The sequence below is a fragment of the Homo sapiens genome, chromosome 2, assembly GCF_000001405.40.
Source record: "Homo sapiens chromosome 2, GRCh38.p14 Primary Assembly".
In the NCBI taxonomy this organism is placed as follows: domain Eukaryota; kingdom Metazoa; phylum Chordata; class Mammalia; order Primates; family Hominidae; genus Homo; species Homo sapiens.
In genome coordinates, this window is record NC_000002.12 from 111,803,985 (window position 1) to 111,828,509 (window position 24,525).

The 24,525-nt window shown below is 38.4% G+C and overlaps 1 protein-coding gene across 9 annotated transcripts in view; it reads right to left on the reverse strand.

Moving 5' to 3' along the window:
- The window catches only part of ANAPC1 (anaphase promoting complex subunit 1), a 117,963-nt gene that overhangs the window by 37,754 nt on the left and 55,684 nt on the right, over positions 1-24,525 (reverse strand). For 4 of the 9 annotated variants that reach the window (XM_017004710.3, XM_011511633.3, XM_017004713.2 and 1 more), the window contains 9 exons: positions 21,793-21,871; positions 21,147-21,183; positions 20,982-21,052; positions 18,438-18,616; positions 17,255-17,481; positions 14,856-14,974; positions 11,386-11,657; positions 4,963-5,197; positions 1,818-1,909 (listed from right to left, as the gene is read on the reverse strand). In XM_017004710.3, coding sequence (XP_016860199.1) covers positions 1,818-1,909; positions 4,963-5,197; positions 11,386-11,657; positions 14,856-14,974; positions 17,255-17,481; positions 18,438-18,616; positions 20,982-21,052; positions 21,147-21,183; positions 21,793-21,871 — 1,311 coding nt within the window. Of the gene's footprint in view, positions 1-1,817; positions 1,910-4,962; positions 5,198-11,385; positions 11,658-14,855; positions 14,975-15,304; positions 15,439-17,254; positions 17,482-18,437; positions 18,617-20,981; positions 21,053-21,146; positions 21,184-21,792; positions 21,872-24,525 lie in introns of those variants that run through there. The other 5 variants (XM_017004711.2, NM_022662.4, XM_047445430.1 and 2 more) reach the window with 4 other exon arrangements.

Sequence of the window (24,525 nt, forward strand, 5' to 3'; positions counted from 1 at the left end):
TTAATCATGAGTTAATAAATATTAATAATTCTCATAAAAGTTTTAATACATGAATGTTCAACTTTAAGTACTGTCTTAAAATACATAAGAGCTTTAGAGTTAGTTACATTTAACAATAAAGAAAAATATTAGTTATATAATTGAAACTGGAACTGTAAATACCTGAATACTGTCATTATTGTACTTAAGAACTTTTCCAACAATAACTATGATAATAATAGTAATTTATTAAATGCATGCTCTGTGTCAGGCACTATTCTGTGTGTTTAACATGAATGAACAGCCATATCAAATAGCTACTATTAAAACCCTATTTTATAAATAAGGAAAGTGTGGCACAGAGGGATTAAGCCCAAGGTTATACAGCTATTATAGTTAAGTCGCAGGGCTATATATAAAACACGGCCATCTGGCTCAACAATCCATGAAGCTGATTAAGCAATACACAATAATGTAGTTAAATGACTTGAATCACTAGTTAGGACCAGAATTCAAGTTGCAATTCCCTGTGTGATTCTTTTCTTTTTTTTTTTTTTTTTTTGAGACGGAGTCTCGCCTTCTTGCCCAGGCTGGAGTGCAGTGGCACGATCTCGACTCTCTGCAAGCTCCGCCTCCTGGGTTCACACCATTCTCCTGCCTCAGCATCCTGAGTAGCTGGGACTACAAGCACCCACCACCATGCCCAGCTAATTTTTTTGTATTTTTAGTAGAGATGGGGTTTCACCGTGTTAGCCAGGATGGTCTGGATCTCCTGACCTCGTGATCCGCCCATCTCAGCCTCCCAAAGTGCTGGGATTACAGGCATGAGCCACCACACCCAGCTGATTATTTTCCATTATACCACCAGCCTCTTTAGCTCACGTGCCAATGTGAATTCAAGGCCCTAACAGATGGTCAACCACAAGGTGGATTTTCAGAACACACATGAAAAAAATTCCTTCCACTATAACTTTTTTTTTTTTTAAGATGGAGTCTCACTCTTGTTGCCCAGGCTGGAGTGCAATGGTGTGATCTCGATTCACCACAACCTCCGCCTCCTGGGTTCAAGCGATTGTCCTGCCTCAGCCTCCCGAGTAGCTGGGATTACAGGCATGCGCCACCACACCTGGCTAATTTTGTATTTTTAGTAGAGATGGGGTTTCTCCATGTTGGTCAGGTTGGTCTTGAACCCCCAATCTCAGGTGATCCGATCACCTCGGCCTTATAACTTTCTTTATATCATTTAGTTTGACCATAAGAATGTATTGGTGGTTTTTCAAGGGGAACCACATTTCAAGTGAAACAATCATTTAATGAAACATTTCTGGTAATTCTGTACACATCTCTTGGATGGAGTTAAAGATGGGTCAATCAGATACTGCATTTTGTCACAAGGAAGATGCTACTGGGACAACATTCTGGGATACACAGTGAACATCACTACGGCAAAAGGGGGTTAGGGTTTGTTTCAAGCAGCTACTATAGACTCTTAAGGCTCCCGATCATATACGTTTTCACTATTCTCTGTTTTCAGTCATAGTGGGCTGTCACTTATTCATTCTATGTCTTGAACGCTTTAAAAAAAAAAAACTTTATTCCCTTCAGTTTGTTCATGAACACTGCAAGCTGGAGGAAAAGAAATCTTAAAGTCCCACTCTTGACCACAGTTTCTCTCAATTTGCAAATCTGGTACTTTGAAAAATATCCAAAAAGACAATAGAGCTGGGCAGCAGATTAAGTCATAGTAAGGGACAATATTCAGGTTTAGGTGTCAACGTTATTTGTCTCAACATGTAGATGTCCTAACTGAAGCATGGGAAGGCATAGGCTATGCTTACCCCCAAGCAGACCATGCCCAGGGCCAAGCCAGCAGCTAAGGAGTATGACTCTCTGTCAGTGCAGTATTCCATTTCAGGACCAGGAGGCCGTCCTGTAAAAACAAAAGCAACACAGTTCAAACTAGCTTCTCAAAATCTCATCTCATAAAAATCTTAGAGTTAACTTTCTAGCAAGTTGCACTGGACATACGAATGGAATATAACTCCATTCAGAAAGTTATGACACTATAATAAATGGTGTCCACAACTGTAGGTTTACCTACCAAAAAAAAGGGCCCAAAATAGTTCTTTTTAAATTGCCAATTTAAGTCTTTATAAGCAATGATATTCAAATACTGTGAAACTTTGAGTCTTACCAAAAAAATTACCAAGTAGTAGAAAAAAATTTTAAAGGGAAAAAGGTAAGAGTATTCAAAAAAAAAGTTTTATTTTTTTGTTAAAACATCTGGGCCGGGTGTGCTGGCTCATGCCTGTAATCCCAGCATTTTGGGAGGCCGAGGCAGGTGGATCACTTGACGTCAGGAGTTGGAGACCAGATGGCCAACATGGTGAAACCCTGTCTCTACTAAAAATACAAAAACTAGCCAGGGTGCCAGGTGCCTGTAATATCAGCTACTGGGGAGGCTGAGGCAGGAAAATCGCTTGAACCTGGGAGGCAGAGGTTGCAGTGAGCCAAAATCAGGTCGCTGCACTCCAGCCTGGGTGACAGAGTGAGACACCATCTCAGCAACAACAACAACGAAATATCTTACATTTTGTTTTCATTACTTTCAAATCCACACATCACATGTGGTGAAACATGTTCGAATGATGATAATGAATAAGGAGGTCACTTACTTATGTTGTTAAGCTGTTAAATATTATGTTTAGACATTTATTTCGAGTGTATATAATAATGAGCCCTACTATGGTAGAATTTCTGTGTACTGATCCTAGAAGTCTGACTGGATACAAAATTCATACTTTTAAAAGGCACCCTATAACTCTAACACTACCGTGTTGAAAACGATAAAATGTACTATGTATTAAAACCCTTCCCTCTGAAAAAATGTTCACATTCCTGAAATTTTATCCCTATAGGAAAAAAATGCAATTTAAAAAAAAAGAAAAAAGGCTGGACGTGCTGGCCCTTGCCTGTAATCCCAGCACTTTGGGAGGCCAAGGCAGGAGGATCACTTGAGGTCAACGAGTTCGAGACCAGCCTGTCCGACATGGAGAAATCCCATCTCTACTAAAACTACAAAAATTAGCCAGGCATGCTGACAGACACCCGTAATCCCAGCTACTTGGTAGGCTGAGGCAGGAGAATTGCTTGAACCTGGGAGGCAGAGGCTGCAGTGAACCGAGATCGCCCCACTCCACTCCAGCCTGGGTGACAGAGCGAGACTCTGTCTCTAAATAAATAAATAAATAATAAAAATTAAAGAAAAAAATCACACAAAGGTAATCAGTGTAATGTTTATATATAACAACAAAGGATTATTAGAAACAATCTAAAAAGTTCTAAAAGTTAAAAAAAGGCATTTTACAGACCATCGACTCAATGAATATTACACAAAATTTGTTTTAAAACCCATTTATAACAATGATCTATAAAAACAATTTTTAGGCGGGGCACAGTGGTTCATGCCTGCAATCCCAGCACTTTGGGAGGCTGAGACAGGCGGATCACAAGGTCAGGAGATCCAGACTATCCTGGCTAACACCATGAAACCCTGTCTCTACTAAAAATACAAAATAATTAGCCAGGCATAGTGGCGGGCGCCTGTAGTCCCAGCTACTCGGGAGGCTGAGGCAGGAGAATGGCGTGAACCCGGGAGGCGGAGCTTGCAATGAGCCAAGATTGCACCACTGTACTCCAGGCTGGGCAACAGAGCAAGACTCTCTCAAAAAAAAAAAAAATTTTTAATGTACATTCTGACAGTAATTATATAAAAAGGCATATACATATGAATTAAAGATGAAATCTTCTATATACAGTGTGAAAGAGGTATGCCGCAGCTGTGAGACTGTGCAATGACACCATTAGACATCATCATGATATAGCCAAAGAAGGGTAGACTACTTTGCAGATGAACATGCTTTAACAACCAGTGTTGAATATTTTCAGAATAAGCGTTTTTCAGATCTCTGACTTATGCTACCATGTATTGTGATAGCCAAAACATTTCAACTTTGGGAATAATTTCATTTATCATTATAGTAGACTAAATTATGGGTCCCAATCTTCACTGGTTCTCTCTTAGGTTTCTATCAACACCACGAGAGAAACACACCCTCCAGCCTGGGTCCCAGAATGAGGCAGGTGAGGCAGAACGGCAGCAGAACAGCCGGCTACACATCTACAGCCTAAAGCAGAGCTGCCTGGGCCAATGCTATGCCTGTATGTATGTAGCATCACTGTGGCAATAGCTATCTGATACAATTATACTAAAGAATAATACATCTTTAACAATATATTCACAAATCCATATAGAAAAGATCTTGAATAGGACATATAAGTATGTAACTAAATTGTTGAGCATATTAATAATGCCAATAGCATTTCCATTTGGCAGAAAAAGATGACAACACATAAAGATTTCCAAAAAGTTTGGACCCAATAAAAAACAGAGACAATGTTCACTAAAGTGAGTGTGTGGACCTTACCATTTCCAGGTTCATCACCAACATACCCACCAGCATGTAAAGGAGGAAAGCAGGAGTCCATTACTTGACTTCTATTGGAAGTGCTGTTATCCAACACAGTAAACACTGTGATGTGTTTAGTTTAGTGTCTCTCAGGGACCAAAACAATCTACTCTGAGTTTTAAGTGCAGGCCACTGGTAGACACTGCTGGTAAAGCAGGATAAACAGCATACTCATAGCTGATTAAAACCACAGGTACCTCATTAAATGTGACCACTGGAATTCAGTAATGAGCTAGCAAATAAACATGGAGGTTAATAACCTGCAGTTACATTAGCCTTGGATAACATTACTTAGAGTTTTGTTGTTTTTTTTAATTAGTACTAGATCATTCTTTGCTCATAAAAGCTACCATTGTCTTTCCTTAATTTTTATAATTTTACTATCACTTTTAATTGGGTTAATGTGGAGTGGAGAGTACATGCCTATGAAGATTCAGCACTATTAATCCCATACCTATCTCAGCCAACAGGACTTCTGCAGTATGTCTGTGAGCTGTCCCTTGATATACAAGGCCAATGCCAACCACTGCAGCCACTTGGACATTGTGAGGAACATCCAGCTCTGTGGACGTTGGGGGTAAGAGAGCAGGAATGTGAATGCTAAGAAGCCGAGTAATAGACATATCCATGGTGCCTAGTTTTGCAGCAGAAACACCAAGTAGCAGTCCAATGCTTGTCATTTCATGGCCCTAAGATAGAAACAAAACAAATACATAGTTTAAAATAAAATACTGCCTGCCACTTTCAAGAAGTACTTTTATGTTGACAGGCAAGGTGAGAGGCACTGAGAATACAGCAGTAAACTAAACAAACATGGTCCTTGCTCTCATGGACCTAATGACTTAATAGGAAAAAAAGTGTTAAATTAAAAAACATAAACAAATATATTATTAAAAAGTAGTACAATAAGAAAGTACAAAGTATTATGAAAGAGTATTTTAAAATAGCTTAATTTAGATTGGGAGGGACTAGAGGATTATTAGGGATGAAATCTCTAAAGATTATACAAAGAAATTTATATTAGGACCTGAAGGATGAAAACAAATTAGCCAGGAACAGTGGCAGGAAAGAGGACACTCAAGTTTAGAAGGTGAGGAAGACTGTTTCAGGTGATAAAACAGCATGTAAATAAATGGCTCTGAGGCGATTCAGAAATAAACCCTCACATTAACATCAACTGACCACAAGGGTGCCAAGACAATTCAACAGGTAAAGGGCAGTCTTCAAAAAACAGTGCTGGGACAAGTGGAAGGACACATTCAAAAGAATGAGGCTGGACTCAACACAATATAACAAGTGTTGGCAAAAATATGGAGAGATTGGAACTCTCATGTATTGCTGATGGGGTTGTATAATGGTGCAGTCATTATGGAAAACAGTTTACAGTTCCTCAAAAAGTTTAACAGAGTTACCATATAACCCAGCAATTCCACTCCTAAGTATGTACCACTACTTACCATTACTTCATTACTCTTGAGTAATGAAAACATACATCTGCACAAAAACATGTATACAAATGTTCATAGCAGTATTATTCGTAATAGCTAAAAAGTACAAATAACCCAAATATTCATCAACTTATGAATAAAATGTACATTCATAAAATAAAACATTTATTCAACAATAAAAAGGAATGTATTGCTGATAGATGGTACAACATGGATGAACCCTAAAATTATCAGGCTAAGTGAAAGAAGCCCATCCTAAAATACCATATTTTATATGACTCCGTTCACATGAAAGGTCCAGAAAAGGCAAACCCATAGACACGGAAAGTAGATTAGTGGTTGGCAGGAAGTGAAGTGAAGGTGGGGGGGGGTGAGGTAGAGGAATGGGGAGTCACCACTAGTGGGTACAAGGTTCCTTTATGGGGTGAAAAGATGTTCTAAAATTAACAGTGGTGATGGATGTACAACTCTGTGAATACACTAAAAACCACTGTACCACATACTTTAAACAGTGAATTGTATGGTATGTGAATTTTATATATTTATATAAATAAAGATTCCTTAAAAAAAAATAACGCTGTGAAGTGAAAGAGTTTAGTTTGCCAGAGAGCTAAAATAGCCAATCTGTATGGTTAGAGTGTGGGGGAGCAAGAAGAGTGGGGCTGGGTGCAGAGGCTCACGCCTATAATCCCAGCACTTTGGGAGGCTGAAGCGGGCAGATCACCTGAGATCAGGAGTTCAAGACCAGCCTGGCCAACATGGTGAAACCCTGTTTCCATCAAAAATACAAAAATTACGCAGGTGTGGTAGTGTGCACCTGTAATCCCAGCTACTCAGAAGGCTGAGGCAGGAGAATTGCTTGAACCTGGGAGGTAGAGGTTGCAGTGAGACGAGATCACACCACTGCACTCCAGCCTAGGTGACAGGGTGAGACTCCACATCAAAAAAAAAAAAAAAAAAAAAAAGAACAGTGGTACCAACTAGGGCTGGAGAAGTGAACAGGATCACACCAGCTCCTAGAATGTATATTAAGAGCAATGGTCGATCCCCCTTTGCCCTCTGGTGTTGGGAATGTTGGCCTTGTTCTAAACCAGTTTCCCTTCACAGAAGTTCGGCCATCATGTGGGATCAGAATAAGGTCCTGGGGCAACTAAAGGTATCTGGCCAAGGGTACATCCGAAGGACCCTACACCGGCCCCCAGTCCCCACCAGCCTGTTCAGGTGTCGGACAAAGACTTCCAATCTTTCCTATCATGTTTTTCCTACTGCTCTTCTGAGAAATGTTACTTAGTTATGTGTCTCTTTGAGAAATTGCTTCTTTTCAGGGCAGGATGCTGGGTTATGCTTGATGAAGCTAAATAAACTGCCAGCCAGATGAGAATTATAGACAAATAATATGCAGGGACCCCCCCTGGATTCATCTTAGTCTTGAGCTCATATAGAATTCAGAGAAATCAAAGGCAGTTGACAAGGAGGGTCAAGGCTGAGTGCAAGTGAACGCAACTACTCCTGCTGGCTTGATCCCCCCCTGGTCATGAATGGTGGCTGCGCGCACATCCACGACCAAGGCAAGCCTGAGAGACGCCTTGGACTCTAGCACAGCAGAGGGAAAGACTAAGGATGCCTTTTTCTCCCCTCTCTCTTTCTAAATGGGTAGCCTGCACTCCTCTCAAGTGCGAGACATTGGGACTCCTTTGATCCTCAGACTCTGAAGAAAAAATACCTGGTATTTATCAGTACCAAGGCTTGGCCCAGCTAGAAGTTGGAAGATGGGGAGACCTAGTCAGCTGGGGAAAATAACAACTATAATACTATCCTATAGCTAGATCTCTTCAACCACAGAGAAGGAAAATGGTCCAAAATTCCATATGTATAGGCCTTTTTTGCCCTGCAGAATAACCGCAAGCTCTGTCAGCAATGTATAATAGACCTTGCACTTATAGCAGTGATATCCAGCCAGACTTAATCCAGACAGAAGGGAAAAAACAGTCTGCCTCCTTAGAAGAGGAGACAGAGGCCCCTGCACCAGCCCAGGTCCCAGCTCCTCTTGGATCATCTCGTCCCCCTTATCCAGGCCCCCTTTTGAACCTCATCCTGTTAGAAGAGTTCGACCTGGATGCGCTCCAGCATCACTTCTTCCTTTACAGGAAATGCATAGTGAATATGGTCCTATCAAAGTACAAGTCCCCTTTTCTTTACAAGATTTGAGGCAGATAAAAAGAAATCTAGGACAATTGTGTCGACCTTGATAGGTATATTGAAGCCTTTCAGAACCTTAATCAAATGTCTGAGCTTTCATGGAAGGGTATCATGTTACTTCTCAACTAGACTCTTAGAGCTTCAGAGAAGCAGGCAGCTTTACAGGTCACTGAGACATTTGGAGATGAAATGTTTATCTTATTATGGCACCTACCAAAAGGGGGAAGAAATTAGGGAGCCCTTTCTGACAGCCAAGCAGGCAGCATCCACCAATAATCCTCAATGAGACTCAGACACTGCTCTAGGAAAGTGGCCGAGAAAACATTTTTAGGGATGCACAGTGGAAGATCTGAAAACTAGAGGCAAATCTCTCAATTACATTAAGTTATCAACCATAAACCAAGGGTCTGAAGAGAACCCTTCTGTTTTCCTGGAAAAAACTGAGAGAGGCTTTAATTAAACACCCATCTCTCTCCTGACTCTATAAAAGGATAGTTAATTTTGAAAGACAAGTTTATAACCCAAGCAGCCCCAAATATTGGAAGAATGCTGCAAAAAGTTAGCTATTGCACCAGACAGTACTCTAAAGAAAATCCTGAAAGTCACCACCTTGGTCTTTTATAATCGGGACCATGAGGAAGCCCAAGAAAAAGGGAGAAAAGGAACGAGAAAAAGGCAGAGGCACTAATAGCTGCCATACAGGCATATAAACCTCTCAATCCCAGGGAGCTTCTCATTCTATGACCGGCTGTTATCAGTGTGGGAGCACTAAAAGAGAGTCTGCCCCCGAAATCAGAAGCAGCCCCCACGGCCCTGTCCAATCTGTAAGGGAGACTACTGGAAGACAAACTGCCTCCAGAAACATACGTCCCAAGGTTCAGAGCCGGCTTCTCAAATGGTCCAGCAGGACTGATGGGTCCCAGGGCTCTCCTCCCCAGCTCTGACAGCCCAGGCTGCATTACCATCCAGGAGTCCCGGGTGAGTCTGGAGGTCAAAGGACTCAGAGGACAGACTTCCTACTCAACACCAGAGCAGCCATTCCTGTTCTCCTCTCCATTCTGGGCCTCCCCTCCTCCCTTAGCACAACTGTGAGGGTCGTCTCAGGAAAGCCTCTGACTCGATATTTTTCTCAATCCCTTAGCTGTACCTAGGGAGACCTTTCGTTTACCTATGCCTTTTTAATCATACCTGAAAGCCCGACTCCTCTGAGGTAGGGATATTTTAGCTCACATGGGAACCACCATCCTTATGGCTCCATTATGGCTCCAGGACAGACTCTTTGCCTCCCTCTGGTGGAGACTGATATTAATCCAGATGTTTGGGCAATTCAGGAAAATACTGGCTGAGCTACAACAGTCTCACCAGTCCAAATCCATCTCAGGGATCTCATCTCCTTCCCTAATTAAAGACAATATCCCCTAAAACCAGAAGCTAGGAAACAACTAGAAGCCATCATTAATAACCTAAGGATGCAGGGCCTTGTTAAACCCTGCGACAGTCCTTGTAATATCCTAATATTGGAAGTACAGAAAGAAACCCAACAGGGAATGGAGACTGGTCCAGGATCTCCACCTCCTCAATGAGTAACTGGTGTAATTAACCAATTTACCCAGTGGTTCCCAATCCCTATACTTTGTTAACTTAGATACCTGAAGGAACTAAATGGTTTGCATTCTTGGAATTAAAAGATGCTTTTTTTCTGCATACCATTATACCCCAACTCCCAAAACTTGTTTGCATTCAGGGATCCCTCCAACCAGACTACCCAGCTAACCTGGATGGTGTTACCACAGGGATTCCAAGACAGCCTCCACCTGTTTGGGCAGGCAATCTCAAAAGATCTCTCTGAGTTCTTTCAAACTCAAGTTAGTCTTAATATGTAGATTACACTCTACTCTGTGCCCCAACTGAGGAAATTTCTCAGAAAAGCAATAAGGCTCTTCTTAATTTTCTAACTGACAGAGGACATAAAGTTTCAAAGTCCAAGGCTCAACTCCGTCAGACTTCAGTGAAGTACCTATGCCTGGTCTTGTCAGAAGGGACCAGGACACTGGGCGAGGAGAGAATTGGATCCATTTTCTCCTTCCTTCTCCCCAAGACCCTCAGCTAACTAAAGGGATTATCAGGCATTACTGGATTCTGCAGCCTATGGATCAGAAATCTAATTAAAAGCATTGCAATGCCTAATTATAACATATCTAATAATCTAGGGGGACATGCCCATGACAACCCTATTTTGCAAAATCCTGGAATAGAACAGTCCATTTTCAGAGGTTTTCTTCCTGTCCTTTCTAGGTGTCCCTAATATATGGGCATGGATTTTCCCCCTTTTAGTTCCTCTTTGTGTTCTCATTGTAATACTCATATTTGGTCCATGTGTACTTAACCTCCTTGTAAAATTTGTTTTTTCTCGCCTAGAGGCCATCAAACTCCAAGTGGTCATGCAAATGGAACCTCGGTTGATGGCTCTCTTTTACCAGGGGACACTTAGATAGGCCTCTAAGAGAGACCTGACTGCTGTTTCCCAAAACAACACCCTCTGTCAGCATGAAGCAGAACAGTCATCACCCCTATCCGAACAGCAGTTAGATATACCTCTTCAGAGCGGGGATTGATGGCGGTAGGAGGCAGGTAAATTCTCAGATGAAACTCAACCTTCAAGCCAAGGACAGTCGAAAGCCTGAAAACCAAGCTACAAGTTCTGGATAAATCCATGGACTAGAGAGCTCTCATTCCTGTTTGGCATGCTCTCTCCTGATTGGTCCTTATCCTTCACCTACCTTACATATACCTGCCCTTCCCCAGTTGGTCCTCTACACTATCGTGCCTATTTCTAAATGGTGCTTTTTCAAGCATACCCACAGACCAATCAGCATGTACCTCCCCCATTTCAAGCCCATAAAAACCTCTAGACTCAGCCTCGTGGCTGGCAACCCACCTTCGGGTCCCCTCTCGCTGTTGAGAGCTTTCTTGTCACTCATTAAATTCTACTCTGCCTTACTCAAGGAAAAAAAAAAAAAAAAAAAAGCAATGGGAGATCATTAATTAAATGGCTTTGACCAGGGAAGTGACATACTCTGATTTATGCTTTAGAAAGATTATTCCATGTACTATGAGACAAATGGACTTAGAAGTACAAGAATGAAGAAAGAAGAGCAAATAGAGCAATTAGGAGCTACTACAATAGCCAGCCAAGGCACAAAGCCAGGCACTGGGAGCACAGGTCTCACCTTGGTCAAGTAGTCATGGATATTGAGAGTCGCCAGCTTGGTAAGGTGCCCATTCAAACCCAGAGCCATGAGAAAGCCAGCATACTCATTGGCCAACTCAGCATGCTTGGGCTTATTGTAAACAATCCAAGCTGAGTCGATCTGGGAGGCAGGAGCTATCTTCAGGCCAGCAGCCACACCATTATGAAAGCTGGCCCAGCTTGTCATGTTGGGAGGCACATCGATGTTTCCACTATTAAGGTCTACTGTTGTGTTCCGAGGAGGGGCACGCCCTATCCAGCCAAACGAAGAACATTGAGAGAATAAAAATCCACAAAACCAAGATTGTTAAATTTAGATCTTTGAGACTAAGATTACTTACGTTTTCTACATTCAAAACCATTAACCCCATAATGCCTGGAACGTTAGGTCTCTATGACCACTTAAAACTTTTGTACATGTGAGTCAAACTTAATGGAACTGGAAAAACCTTCACTGTCTAAACAGTTCATTGTCCTTTTTGTTAAAATGTATGAGGCTATATAATGAGATAACTGATACCAATTTAACATTATACAGAGATGACTGGGATAATCACTCATTTTTTCTTTCAAACAGAGAGCTTAAAAACCAAAATGAAGACTAACATCACTGTTAAACTATACAAGTTATAAATCCCAACATCTGATGACACTGATGTTAATTTCAAATGTTCTATCCTATATTTTCCCCTAGACATTAAGGAAAAATGACATCTTAAGAAAAGACAAAAGCCAGGCCTGGTGGTGCGTGCCTGTCCCAGCTACTTGGGAGGCTAAGGCATGAGAATCACTTGAACCTGGGAGGCAGAGGTTGCAGTGAGCCAAGATCATGCCATTGCACTCCCACCTGGGCAGCAGACAGAGACTGCATCTCAAAAAAGAAAAAAAAAAAAGGAAACAAGAACCTTAATAAATCTGCTACAGGTCTTACCTATATATGCCCCCTTCTCTCTCTTTTTTTCTCTCTCTCTCTATATATACATACAGATATAGATATCTAATTATATGCTATCGTTTAAAATGCTTAGAGATAGTTTTGTAAAAAGCATCCTTTTATAGACTTGAGTCACCCAGTGAACTTCAAAAGGGCATTCACCAGATTATACTTTTACGGTCCATTTATTTAAGAACAATGTAAATTATATGTTCACAATGCTATATGTTCCCTACGAATTTTTTCTTGATTCTTTTCTTTTTGATCTACATTATACACAGCAAACATTGAATCTTTTTAAATATATTTTGAATATTGTCTTAAGTCACGGATAAAATAATTAACATAAATATTTTAATTACTGCATAAAGTTATCCATTTCACTGCAGCTTTAAAAATACCATTTTTAAAGAGTTCTAAGATGTTATGTAAAATAAATTTTAAGTAGATGCAGTGTCTTATTTGTAGCATGTACACATACACACACAAAGCACAAAGTAAGACTTATTTGTCTTTACTATATGCTTTTTGTACCTAAAAGCTAACTCAACTGCTAGTGTTAGCACCACAATGAGTAATAAGTTCATAAGTTACACTTGTACTTTCTCAAAAAAGGCAGACATATCAATATGAAAAAACTGAGTGACCTTTCTGAAACATTCATTCATCATATGCAAGAGACATAATATTTATACACGAGAGAAAATAAAATGCAAAGGGTAAGGTAAATTTTCTTCAATGAGAATAACAACATACAAAAGTACAACAGGCCACATCAGTGTGGGTTAAGCAACTATTTAAGAAAATATTCTTTCCTAAATTAAGAGGATAACCTTTCTTTTTGGCCTACCAGAATGACTAAAAGAATAAAATGTTGGATTAATGTCATAAACACATTTTAAATCATGCAAATTCAATTAAATGTATTCAGAAAAAAAGATGCATGTATATATTTTTTAAACCCACCCAAGTATCACTTGAGTGCTAAATCACCCAGATTGAATACATTTTAACATTTGCCAATTTTGCATTAGATTTTCTTTTTAATCTGCACTTATTATATGAAATCTTTCATATAAACAGTTGGAAAGACTACTAAAATGAACATCTATATACCATGCCTTCCATCAAGAATCAATAATTGTTAAAATTTTGCCATAGGTGCTTTACCTCTGAGACAATTTAAATATTAAAAGCAACTCTGCTCACTATGTCCCTCAGTGAGATCAGGGCTCAGAATAAGCATGATATGGAGATGGGAATGTGTTCTTTCACTTAGTCAATCTCATTTCCTGCATGCTGCTCAAAGCACAAGCTTTTCACAAATCTGAGTGGAACTCTGGATTTTTTAAAGTATGCAATTTAAAATACTGTATAATTATGTTTGCATATATTATGTACTATTTATCATATATTAAATTATACATTATATGCTACCACATATACTATACACTCCTACAACATACATTATACATTTTGTATAGGTTTCACAAAACCATATATACTATAATAGAGTTTCAGTGATAATTTCAACTATGTAATTGTCACCTTTAGAACACATTCAAATCAGCATTAGGGGGACATGCACTATAAAATTCATTGTAATCAAGACTATAACTACAGTTATATATGGCAGAAATAAAAACTTGTGCCAGCCAGAAAGGCAATTTGACATGTTCCTTAAAACCATTCATCTTGCTGTCCTAAGAGTTCTACTTCTAAGCATTTAGCCTAAATACACAGGACGAATACGCCCCAACAATGTTTATAATACCAAAAAACTGTAATTTCCAACAATACCAGGCTGCTTCTATAAACTATGGTATATCCGCTGAATGAAATACTCTGAAGCAAATAAAAATGAATGTATTGATTAAAAACACGTGTATACAATACATACACATAATTATAAACACATACATTTATTTGCTAGATATAAAAGGATGTTCACTGTAAATTTTTAAAAAAATCTAAAATAGATATAAATTTTCTGATAATTAAACAAATATAAAATTATAAATATGTGGAAATAAACTTAGTAAACATATATACTAAAATGTTAAAAGGAGTGATGCAGAAGAGTGGGAGTACTGCAAGCGACCATTGTTTCTCTTTTTGCTTAGTACATTTCTTGATTTATACAATGATCATCTGTTTAAACTATGACGTAAGACATTTTAAAACTAAATATTTTTACATATTAAACTTAAGATTATTTAAAATTCAAGTCTCATCGTTATCAATAATATCTTTCTGAACTTCTCCAAGTGACTTTTTAGATCTTAAAATCACCTCATTAAAAAGCAAAAATGAGTAATGAACTATATTCTGCTTCTCTCAAAGTTTAGTTTCACATGGCATTTGAGCTTTGATAACCACTACAGCAGCTATTAGGAAAATTTTAAATCACTGGGGATAGAGGGAGCATTTCTTTTGTTTTAACTAATTTAAAGAACTACACTTAATGCATGTACTTAATCATTTTCCTTTCTCATTGAGCCCAGAATTTAACATACCAGTCAGATTCAATTTAGGAATAGGCAATGGCTCTGTTGGAACAGGATGGTACGAAAACAAGGTAAACATTCCTCGTCCTACAGGAAGAGCCATAGTTCGCTGACACAATTGGAGCAATCTGTAATTAAAGTAAAAACCAACATATGAAAATGTTTAAAGCAAAGAGCAATTGAAATATCATCTGTAAGTATTTCAAAAGAAGGTGTACTGTATAAGATGAAGTTGTCTCAAAGTAAATTCATACACAGATGTGAGTGAACTACCCAAACATGATTATTTTCATTTTAATATTCTTGTTCCTATTACACTCTTAGGGAGAGACATATTTCCTCTGTTTTGTTTCATATTTACATTGAATGAAAACCACCTGGCCTATAAACCCAGCCGACTCTCTCTAGGCATTCAAAAAAAAAAAGAAATTTAAAATTCCACTCCGATGGATGCTAACCTTCTCAAAGGAAAATACAGTACTTTTGGGGTTTTTATCACTGTGTTAATTTCAGTCTAGCTGTCCTCAGTACATGTGGGATCCTCCTCCCATCCCTTTTGCCAATACAGCCTCAGAAGTACCATTTCTGTGGCCTGTACACAAGAAAAGAAACAAGGTCCTTGTGTTAGAGGTGAATGGATTTCATGGTGTCTCCAAGGGAAATACAGATTGGTTTCACTTACATGATGGCTAGATTTATAGGACTAATACCATTATGTATCAGGTATGTTCAAGGTTAAAATGGTTTCTGTTGGCTCTACTGTGAAATTAATACACCACTCTTCAACTTCTTCCTATGTTAAAATAGCTTAACATTCCATATAGCCACTTAAAAAAAACTAACAGAAATTTTGGAAGTAGGGCATTTATAACTAAGAAACGCCTATACAAGCTATATCTGAAGACACAGAAATATCCCTTCAGAGGCTGACAACTGACAAACATTTTCTCTGCAGACAAAGCTATTCATAAGCATACTCCCTCCTTAACTGGACACACATAACTGCTTTTCTAGCTAACTGGAAAGAAAAATTTTGCTGTCTTAAAGATTCTCTGGGAACACAACCGCAACATTAATTTGGGATCAGGAAAATTCAAAGCCAAGAGGCTGTTGCAACCCATAGAATTTTTTTAGAGGAAATCTTACACATAATTCACTTCAACTTTGCGCAAGTAACAAAATTATAATGAGAACAATATTATATCCCCTGAATATAAGATGCCACTGATAAGATGTATCATTATTTCATGAGAAACTAAGAAAGAAAAAGCACTGCCAATTAAACTATGACACCTGTTCACTGAAATACACAACTGATTTCAGAGATATTAAAAAGTGAAAAAACTTGCATCTTAGAATCAATGAACTCTACTACTAATAATGGCTGACTGCACTGAGCTTTACTATGTATTGAGCAGTATTCTAAGTGCTATGTAAAAATAATTCACTTGATACACAGCACCATCCCATGAAGTATGCCTACTTTTACAAATGAAGCAACTGAGGCAACAAGAGGTAAAGTAATTTAACCAAAGTCACCCAGCACAGCATGGCCATGCCTGGCTCTAGAGGCCATGCTCATAAATCCTATGCTCTAAACTCAACTTCTGTCACTCCATCTTTTTATTCACAGGTGACTAATAACTGGGTACATGTGGAGAGGAAACAGTTAATAGGGAAATCACAACTAATTCAGATCTTCAGCAGCCTGTGGCTAAGTGTGGGTGATGGTTCCCCTCAAAACAGTACCATAAAAAAAGTAAAGAGAACTAGAAAACAGTGGCAGATGAATGATAGATGATAGAGACAAGCAGATAAAAGAACAGGAGAGAATTTTAAAACAGAAGTGTCCCAAGAGAATAGCTCTGGAATGTCATAGGCATGTGAGTCTTATAATGTATCAAGGGATGTATCCTGTGCAGGGGAGTGGCAGAAGAAAGGCTTATCTATTTTTATTTGGAGTATCATCTATCATATCCAAAAAAAAAAAATACTCATACAAGTTTAAACTACACTAAAAACCCCACTAACCTCAAAATCTATTCCTGATCAAGACACAGAAAAACAAGTCCAGTGTTTTCTTTGTTTGTAAATTCTTAAGGTAACTATCAGGCAAAATAGTTTTACATTCACCTTTTCTAAAGAGTAAAGTGTTATATGTATTTCAAGAGGAGGACGATATGAAATACAACAATTACGTCCTCAAAAGCCAAAGACATTTTGCTAACACACGTGGTTTGTTGAAGTTGGATGAAAACTTAAAACACAGGGCATATTTTCACTTGAAAGTATCTTTTAAATCTCTTTAGGGTTTTAAATGCTAAAAACTTGAAGGAAAAACAAATATACACAAGACACAAATGTAACAATGAAACATGACAAGAGATAGTGCACGTGTTTTCTTTCACCTGTTTTCCTTTTCCTCGATGAACTCGTGGTCACTGAGCTCTGGGTACTGCACTACGTTGACACGGACAGGATGCGCACTCTGAAGAAGCCTTCGCACATCCTGCACCCTTAAATCTTCACTCCATATTAATGACATGACCTCGTGATTCATGTCATTCATGCCGTCATCTTCCTCCTCAGTTTCTGTTCCTGAAGGAACATCTGATGAGAGCACCTGAGTAACAGACTTTATTGTAATAATAATTTCAAAAGCAGTTAACATGCACTTGCTGAACATGAGGATATATAGGCTGATGTGTCTTGACTATACTAGCACAGAGAAAATATGTTTTCCAAAGCAGGCATGGGTTGGAGCCGCAATGTATACTGGGACTCTAATCTACAAATCTTTCTAAAAAGTACTATATTGCTGGCCGGGTGTGGTGGCTCACACTCTGTAATCCCAGCACTTTGGGAGGCCGAGGTGGGCGGATCACCCGAGGCCAGGGGTTCCAGACCAGCCTGGCCAACATGGTGAGGATGATTTAAAAAGATAATTGGAGAGTAATGAAATAATTTAACTTTCTACTTGCAGGATTCCTAGAACTCATTTGAAAAAAAAAACAGACTTGATGATTGATGAAAGACAGTATTTCGGGAGGGATAGCTTAAGACATGTTTTTAAACAACTCTACTGAAAAAAACACATTTTTTCCCTGGGGCTGCAGTTTTATGTGATTAAACAAATATGTTTACACCTATTTAAAAGGTTAAATTCAAAAAATTCAACACATCAAAAAATATGCAGTAGAAAATATTTATATATAATTACTCATCCAAATTCAGGATATATGTGCTCTCCCTTTTCCTATGTAATAATTACAAAGTGGTTAATTACTAATATGGTACAAGTAGGGAAATAGCCATGGTAGTTTCCATGACTACCCTCAGGACTTGTCCTGATTCAAGGCAAAGAAAGATCCAGGCACAAGACAGAACATTCACAAAATCTCCTGCTCCTAATGCTCATCTTAACAATTAATAAGACGCGTACAATTACAAACCCCGTCTGGCATATAATATAAAAGACAAGCTAATATATATACTTAGAAAAAGCCTTAAAGGAAAATGAAGAACATTTCTACTTTATGATTTTATTTAAGGCTAAAATTGGAACTCTGAACTTTCTATGTTGATACTCACAGACTTCCCTTTGGGTAAGTTTCCTTCGCAGGCCTGCTTGGAAAGATCCTGACGTCCAATCAAGAGACAGACAGCTTCTGGCCAGTCTGAGGCAGGCTGCTCACGACAGTGATAAATTGCATCTCTGATGGGAAGAGCAATTCCAAAGGGAAGAGTTTCCAAATCTCTTAAAGTGAATCCTAATGGTTAAAGGAAGAGAGAAAAATTTTAATTTAGACTCGCCACTGTCCCAATTATCCTGACTGAAGTTGGCAACAATATCTATCCTGACAAATAAGTTCATTTTATTCATCTTACTACCAGACTAATGTCTTGACATCAAGGACTAGTATAGGAAGTCTCTTTGAAAGAACTTGTAAAAACCTGAAGAAAAAAAGACAATCTAATAGAAAAATATAAAGGACAAAAAGACATTTCCTAGAAGGGGAAACATAAATGGGCAACATGCATATGAAAAGATGCTCTACCTAATTAGGGATCAGGAAAATGCAAATTAAAGCTACTGAGAAATATAAATGTCAAAGCCAATCAATACTAAATGTTGGCAACTATGTAGAGCAATAATAATTCTTTTTATTCTTTTTTTTTTTTTTTTTTTTTTTTTTTGAGATGGAGTCTCGCTCTGTCGCCCAGGATGGAGTGCAGTGGCGCGATCTTGGCTCACTGCAAGCTCCTCCTCCCGGGTTCACGCCATTCTCCTGCCTCAGCCTCCCGAGTAGCTGGGACTACAGGCGCCCGCCACCATGCCCGGCTAATTTTTTTTGTAATTTTTTTTTTAGTAGAGACAGGGTTTCACCGTATTAGCCAGGATGGTCTCGATCTCCTGACCTCGTGATCCACCCGCCTCGGCCTCCCAAAGTGCTGGCATTACAGGCATGAGCCACCGCGCCTGGCCCAAGCAACAATAATGCTTATCCATAGCCAATGGTAGTGTAAACTGGTACAACCACTTTGGAAAACAGTTGGTATGTATAGGTCAATCCACCCATTTGATCCATCAACAGCCATATAGAAACTTATACCCATGTACAAAGACACAGGTATAAAAATATTCATTAGCAATACTGGTTTGTTATGGAAAAAAAAAAAGAGATGGAGAAAGGGGTGAGTCCGATTGTCTATCATCAATAGAATGGGTAATTAAATTATGATATGTTCAAACAAAGTAATCTCTATATCAGAGAAAATGAATGGCCCGCTGCTACTGCTACATGAGTCGACATGGATGAATCTTTAAAAAACAAAGTTGAGTGAAGAAAAAGGAACACATATTTACATCTATATATTTTCAAAACTACATAAGACCTAGCAATTTATAAAGATGTAAAACTATAAAGAAAAACAAGAGTAAGGTAACACAAATGTAGGTAGGGCAGTGGTTCACTATAACATTGGGGTGTGTGACAGGAGGGGACCATCCAAGAACAGATATGTAAGGGCCTTCTACTATGCGGGTAATATTCTATTTCTAGGGGTGGGTGACCAGTACATCAATACTCACTTTAGTACCATTCTCTAAACTAAACATATACGTTTGACATATTATTTTGTAAGTATACCATATTTCATATTTAAATTTATCCTCAGGTTAATTAAATCATGTTTTTCTTATGATTTTCTAAATTTCATAATACTATGCATTATTTATAATATAAAAAGTCGATTAACTATTGAGGCAAAAAATGTTTCCTTATATGAGAATAACACTTATTAAATATTATGCAATATACAAATGGATAGAACTAATCCAATATTTTTCAGCATAGGTATCCTGTATGTATACTATGCAACAGTTATTGTCATTTTTAAGGTAAAATGCAAAAAAAAAAAAAAAAAACCTGTCAGAAACTTCATTTAGAACATACTTTAGATAAGACTTCAAAAACATCTTTTAATATTCATTAAAACTTTACTTTTTAACATACATCCCATATAACATCCTCATTTTTAAAATCATGTCTTCGTGGCAGTAATTTTTGTTTTTCAGTTCTTTGTGAAAAAAAATTTCTTTGGTATTTTACTTAATTTAAAACCTAGGAGCATAGGTTTGGGGAATAGGGAATATAGAACTCTTTTCCTTCCTCTTCCTCTTCCCAGTTCAATGTTCATCTTGGTGCCTGAAATCCCTTCAAAAGTGCATTTATCCTTCAAAAGTATACCCTGAAATGTTTATATTATTGCTTTTAGACTTTGCCAAAACCACCCATTTCTGATATCTGAGTATCACAATGATTTCAGGTGTGTATGTAGGTGATTAGAGTTCTCCATTCTCAGAGACCAGCTTACATAGCCACAGCCTCAAATGTTCCAATTAAATGGCAAATAAAGATTCCTTATGCATCAAGATAAAAAGCTGGTATCCCAAATATTATTATATGAAAGTTGTGAGATTGTCGAGAAAAAAAGAATATGGCTTGATGAACCATAATCTCAATCTTGTGAGGCCTTTTCACAAAGCCAGAGCCCCTCTCTCCTCATGCCTTCCACTTCTAGCTAGTCTGGAGGAAGCACGGCCTAGTTAGGAGGTAACAAAGAAGCTCTCACCTACATTAGTCATCCAGACAACCAATCTTTCAGCTAGACTAGAAACAGATGTAGAATGCCTGAAACTAAACCTATAAGAGAATAAAACATAAAGTTATTAAGCAGAACAGTAAATAATATTGTTTTAAGTGTTTGACATAAAAGCACAGTCTAAATAAAAGTCACCTGTTTTCCTCTTGTTCTACTTGCAACTTCTGGGGGGCTAAAAGGCAACAAAATGAAACTTAATTTTGATAGTCATCCTGGTAAAGAAAACATGTAACATGTAGAAAACATTTGAAAATAAGAATCAATTAGCAAACAACATCTAAAAAAAAATAAAATAAGCAATACTGTGGCAGGCTGAAAAGTACAGTCAAGGCCCTCAGAATACTCAGGGGATTGGTTAGGACACCCCATGCGTACCCAAATCCGTGCATGCTCAAGTCCTGCAACTGGCCCTGCAGAACCTGCATATGGGTTTCACATCAGAGAATACTGCATTTTCTATCTGCATTTGGCTGAAAAGAATTTCATTGTAAGTGGACCCACACAACTCAAACTCATGTTGTTCAAGAGTCAATGGTACAATAATTTCCTTCAGGCTAAAATAGTCCTTTTTACCCGCACTGAAAATACAAGATGTATTAGATTTTAAGTAATCCTGATACCTGAAAATTAGTTGTGGACAAAAGACCGCAACAGACCAGAACAGTACTAAAAAGGTAAGACATGGCCGCCAAAGCAAACAAGAAAAATTCAATTCTTTTTTCAATTCTGATACTGACATTTACAAAAATTTGTTTCCAGAGGCAACATTGCACCAACTTACCTATAGTTATTCTGGTTAAATACTGTGAGGATTCATCAGAAACCAAGCTCTCATCACCAAGTATGTACAGTGCAATACTCTGCAAAGGAAGAAAATTAACATTATTTTTCTCTTTTCAGAGACAGCATCTCACTTTGTCACCCAGGCTGGAGTGCAGTGACACAATCACAGCTCACTGCAGCCTCAAACTCCTTGGCTCAAGCAATCTTCCTGCTTCAGTCTCCAGAGTAGCTAGGACTATAGGCACACACCACCATGCCCAGCTTATTATTTTATATTATTTTTATTTTTTGTAAAGACGGAGTCTCGCTGTGTTGCCCAGGCTGGGCTCAAACTCATGACCTCGAGCAATCCTTCTGCCTCAGCCTCCCAAACTGCTGGGATTATAGGTATGAGCCACCACACCTAGCTACATAATTGAAGTATAACTAGAAAATAATTATAACATAGAATAATTCATCCATTTTAGGTGTACAGCTCTGTGAGTTTCGACAAATGTTGTATCACATAACCACTACCACACTCACAATATAGTATACTTTCATCACACCAAAAAGTTCCCTTGTTCCTTTTGTAGTCAATCCTTTCCTCCTACACCCAGCACTGGAAACAATTCATCTGTTTTCTTGCTCTACAGTTTTGTCTATCCTACAATATCATGTAAATCAATCATATGATATGTAGTCTTTTTTGTGCTACTTCTTTAACTTAGCATAAGTCTTTGAGATTCATTCACGTCTCTCCAAGGATCACTAGTTTCTTCCTTTTCATGCTAAGTAGTATTCCATTATACAGACATACCAAACTTTGTTTACCTACTCAAAAACTGATGAACATTTGGTTCCAGTTTGTGGTCACTATGACCAAAGCTGCTTTATTTATTTATTTATTTTTTTTTTTTTTGAGACGGAGTCTCACTATGTCGCCAGGCTGGAGCGCAGTGGCACAATCTCGGCTCACTGCAACCTCCGCCTCCTGGGTTCAAGCGATTCTCCCACCTTAGCCTCCAGAGTGGCTGGGATTACAGGCATGCGCCACCACGCCCAGCTAATTTTTGTATTTTTAGTAGAGACAGGGTTTCACCATGTTGGCCAGGATGGTCTCGATCTCCTGACCTCGTGATCCGCCCTCCTCGGCCTCCCAAAGTGCTGAGATTATGCCACCGCACCTGGCCCCAAAGACATTCACATACATGCGGGTCTTTATGTAGGCATATGTTTTCATTTATCTTAAGTAAATACGAAAGTGTATGTTTAACTTCACAAGAAACTGCCAGTTTTGCAAAGTGCCATGCCACTTTTGCAGTCCCACCAGTAATGTATGAGAGTTTCGATTGCTCCATATCCTCACCAAAAGTTATTTTCAGTCATTCCAACAGGTATCGAATAGTGCTCTCTCACTATCTAAGAAGTATCTAGTAGTACAGAGCTGTAGTGTTATTTGCTTTGAAGAGGAAAAGAAAAAGATAACACAAAGGAAAAAGTCTCTCAAAAGAGTTAAAATATTCAACATATAACACAAACACAAAAGTACATAAGATCTCTCTATTAAATGAGAAAACATACATAAAGTTCCTTGAAGACAACAGGCTCCCAATAAATGTTATCTCACTTCCTTCCTTTCCCTCATTTCAACAAATGGTACACAGACAATGCCATCTCCGCATATACAAGTGACTCAATAGAAAAAGAGCCACCATAAGCTAGAAGGTTACTACAAATGTCTCATTAGCTAAACATCACATAAAAAAAATTTATCACTTGCGGTCAGGAGTTCAAGACCAGCCTGGGCAACATGGCAAAACCCCATCTCTACTAAAAATACAAAAATTAGCCGGGTGTGATGGTGTGCACCTGTGGTCCCAGCTACTCAGGAGGCCGAGGTGGAAGGACTGCTTGAGCCCCGGGAGGTTGAGGCTGCAGTGAGCCATGATTGCACCACTGCACTCCAGCCTGGGTGACAGAGTAAGACCTTGTCTCAAATAAAAAAAATAAAAAATAAAAAAAGTCCAATAAAACTTATAATGAGGAAACCAAAAACGTATCAACAAGGGCTTCTGTTGATATTTTTCAGAATATTTTTATAAATAAAAATTAAATTCATATTTTTATAAATAGATCTCTGAGCTAACAAGTTATAAAGGAATACGAAGAGGATAAAACTAAGATGAAAGGCCAGAGAGGTAAACTGAGCACTCATGACAGTTTTACTGAAAAGACATTCACAGAAAAACCTATAGAATGGGAGAAAATATTTGCAAATCATGTATCTGACACATTAATATCTAGAGCATAAAAATGCCTAAACTTGAAAATAAAAATCCAATTTTCAAATACACAAAAGATCTGCATAGATCTTTCTTCAAAGAAGATACGTAAATGGCCAATAAACACAAGAAAATATGCTCAATATCACTAAATTAAGGAGGCAAATCAAAACAATGAGATATCACTTCATAAATACTAGGATGGCTATAATTTTTAAAAAAACAAATAGAAAATAATAATATGTGTTGGCAAGACCGTAGAGAAATTGGAACCCTTCCTCTTGCATTGCTGATAAGGATGTAAAATGGTATAGCCACTATGAAAATGAGTTTAGCAGTTCCTCAAAAAGTTAAACATCGAACTACCTACCATATGACCCAACAATTCCACCACCAGGTATATATTAAAAAGAACTGAAAGCAGAGACTTGAACAGATATTTGCATACCCATGGTTCACAGCAGCAC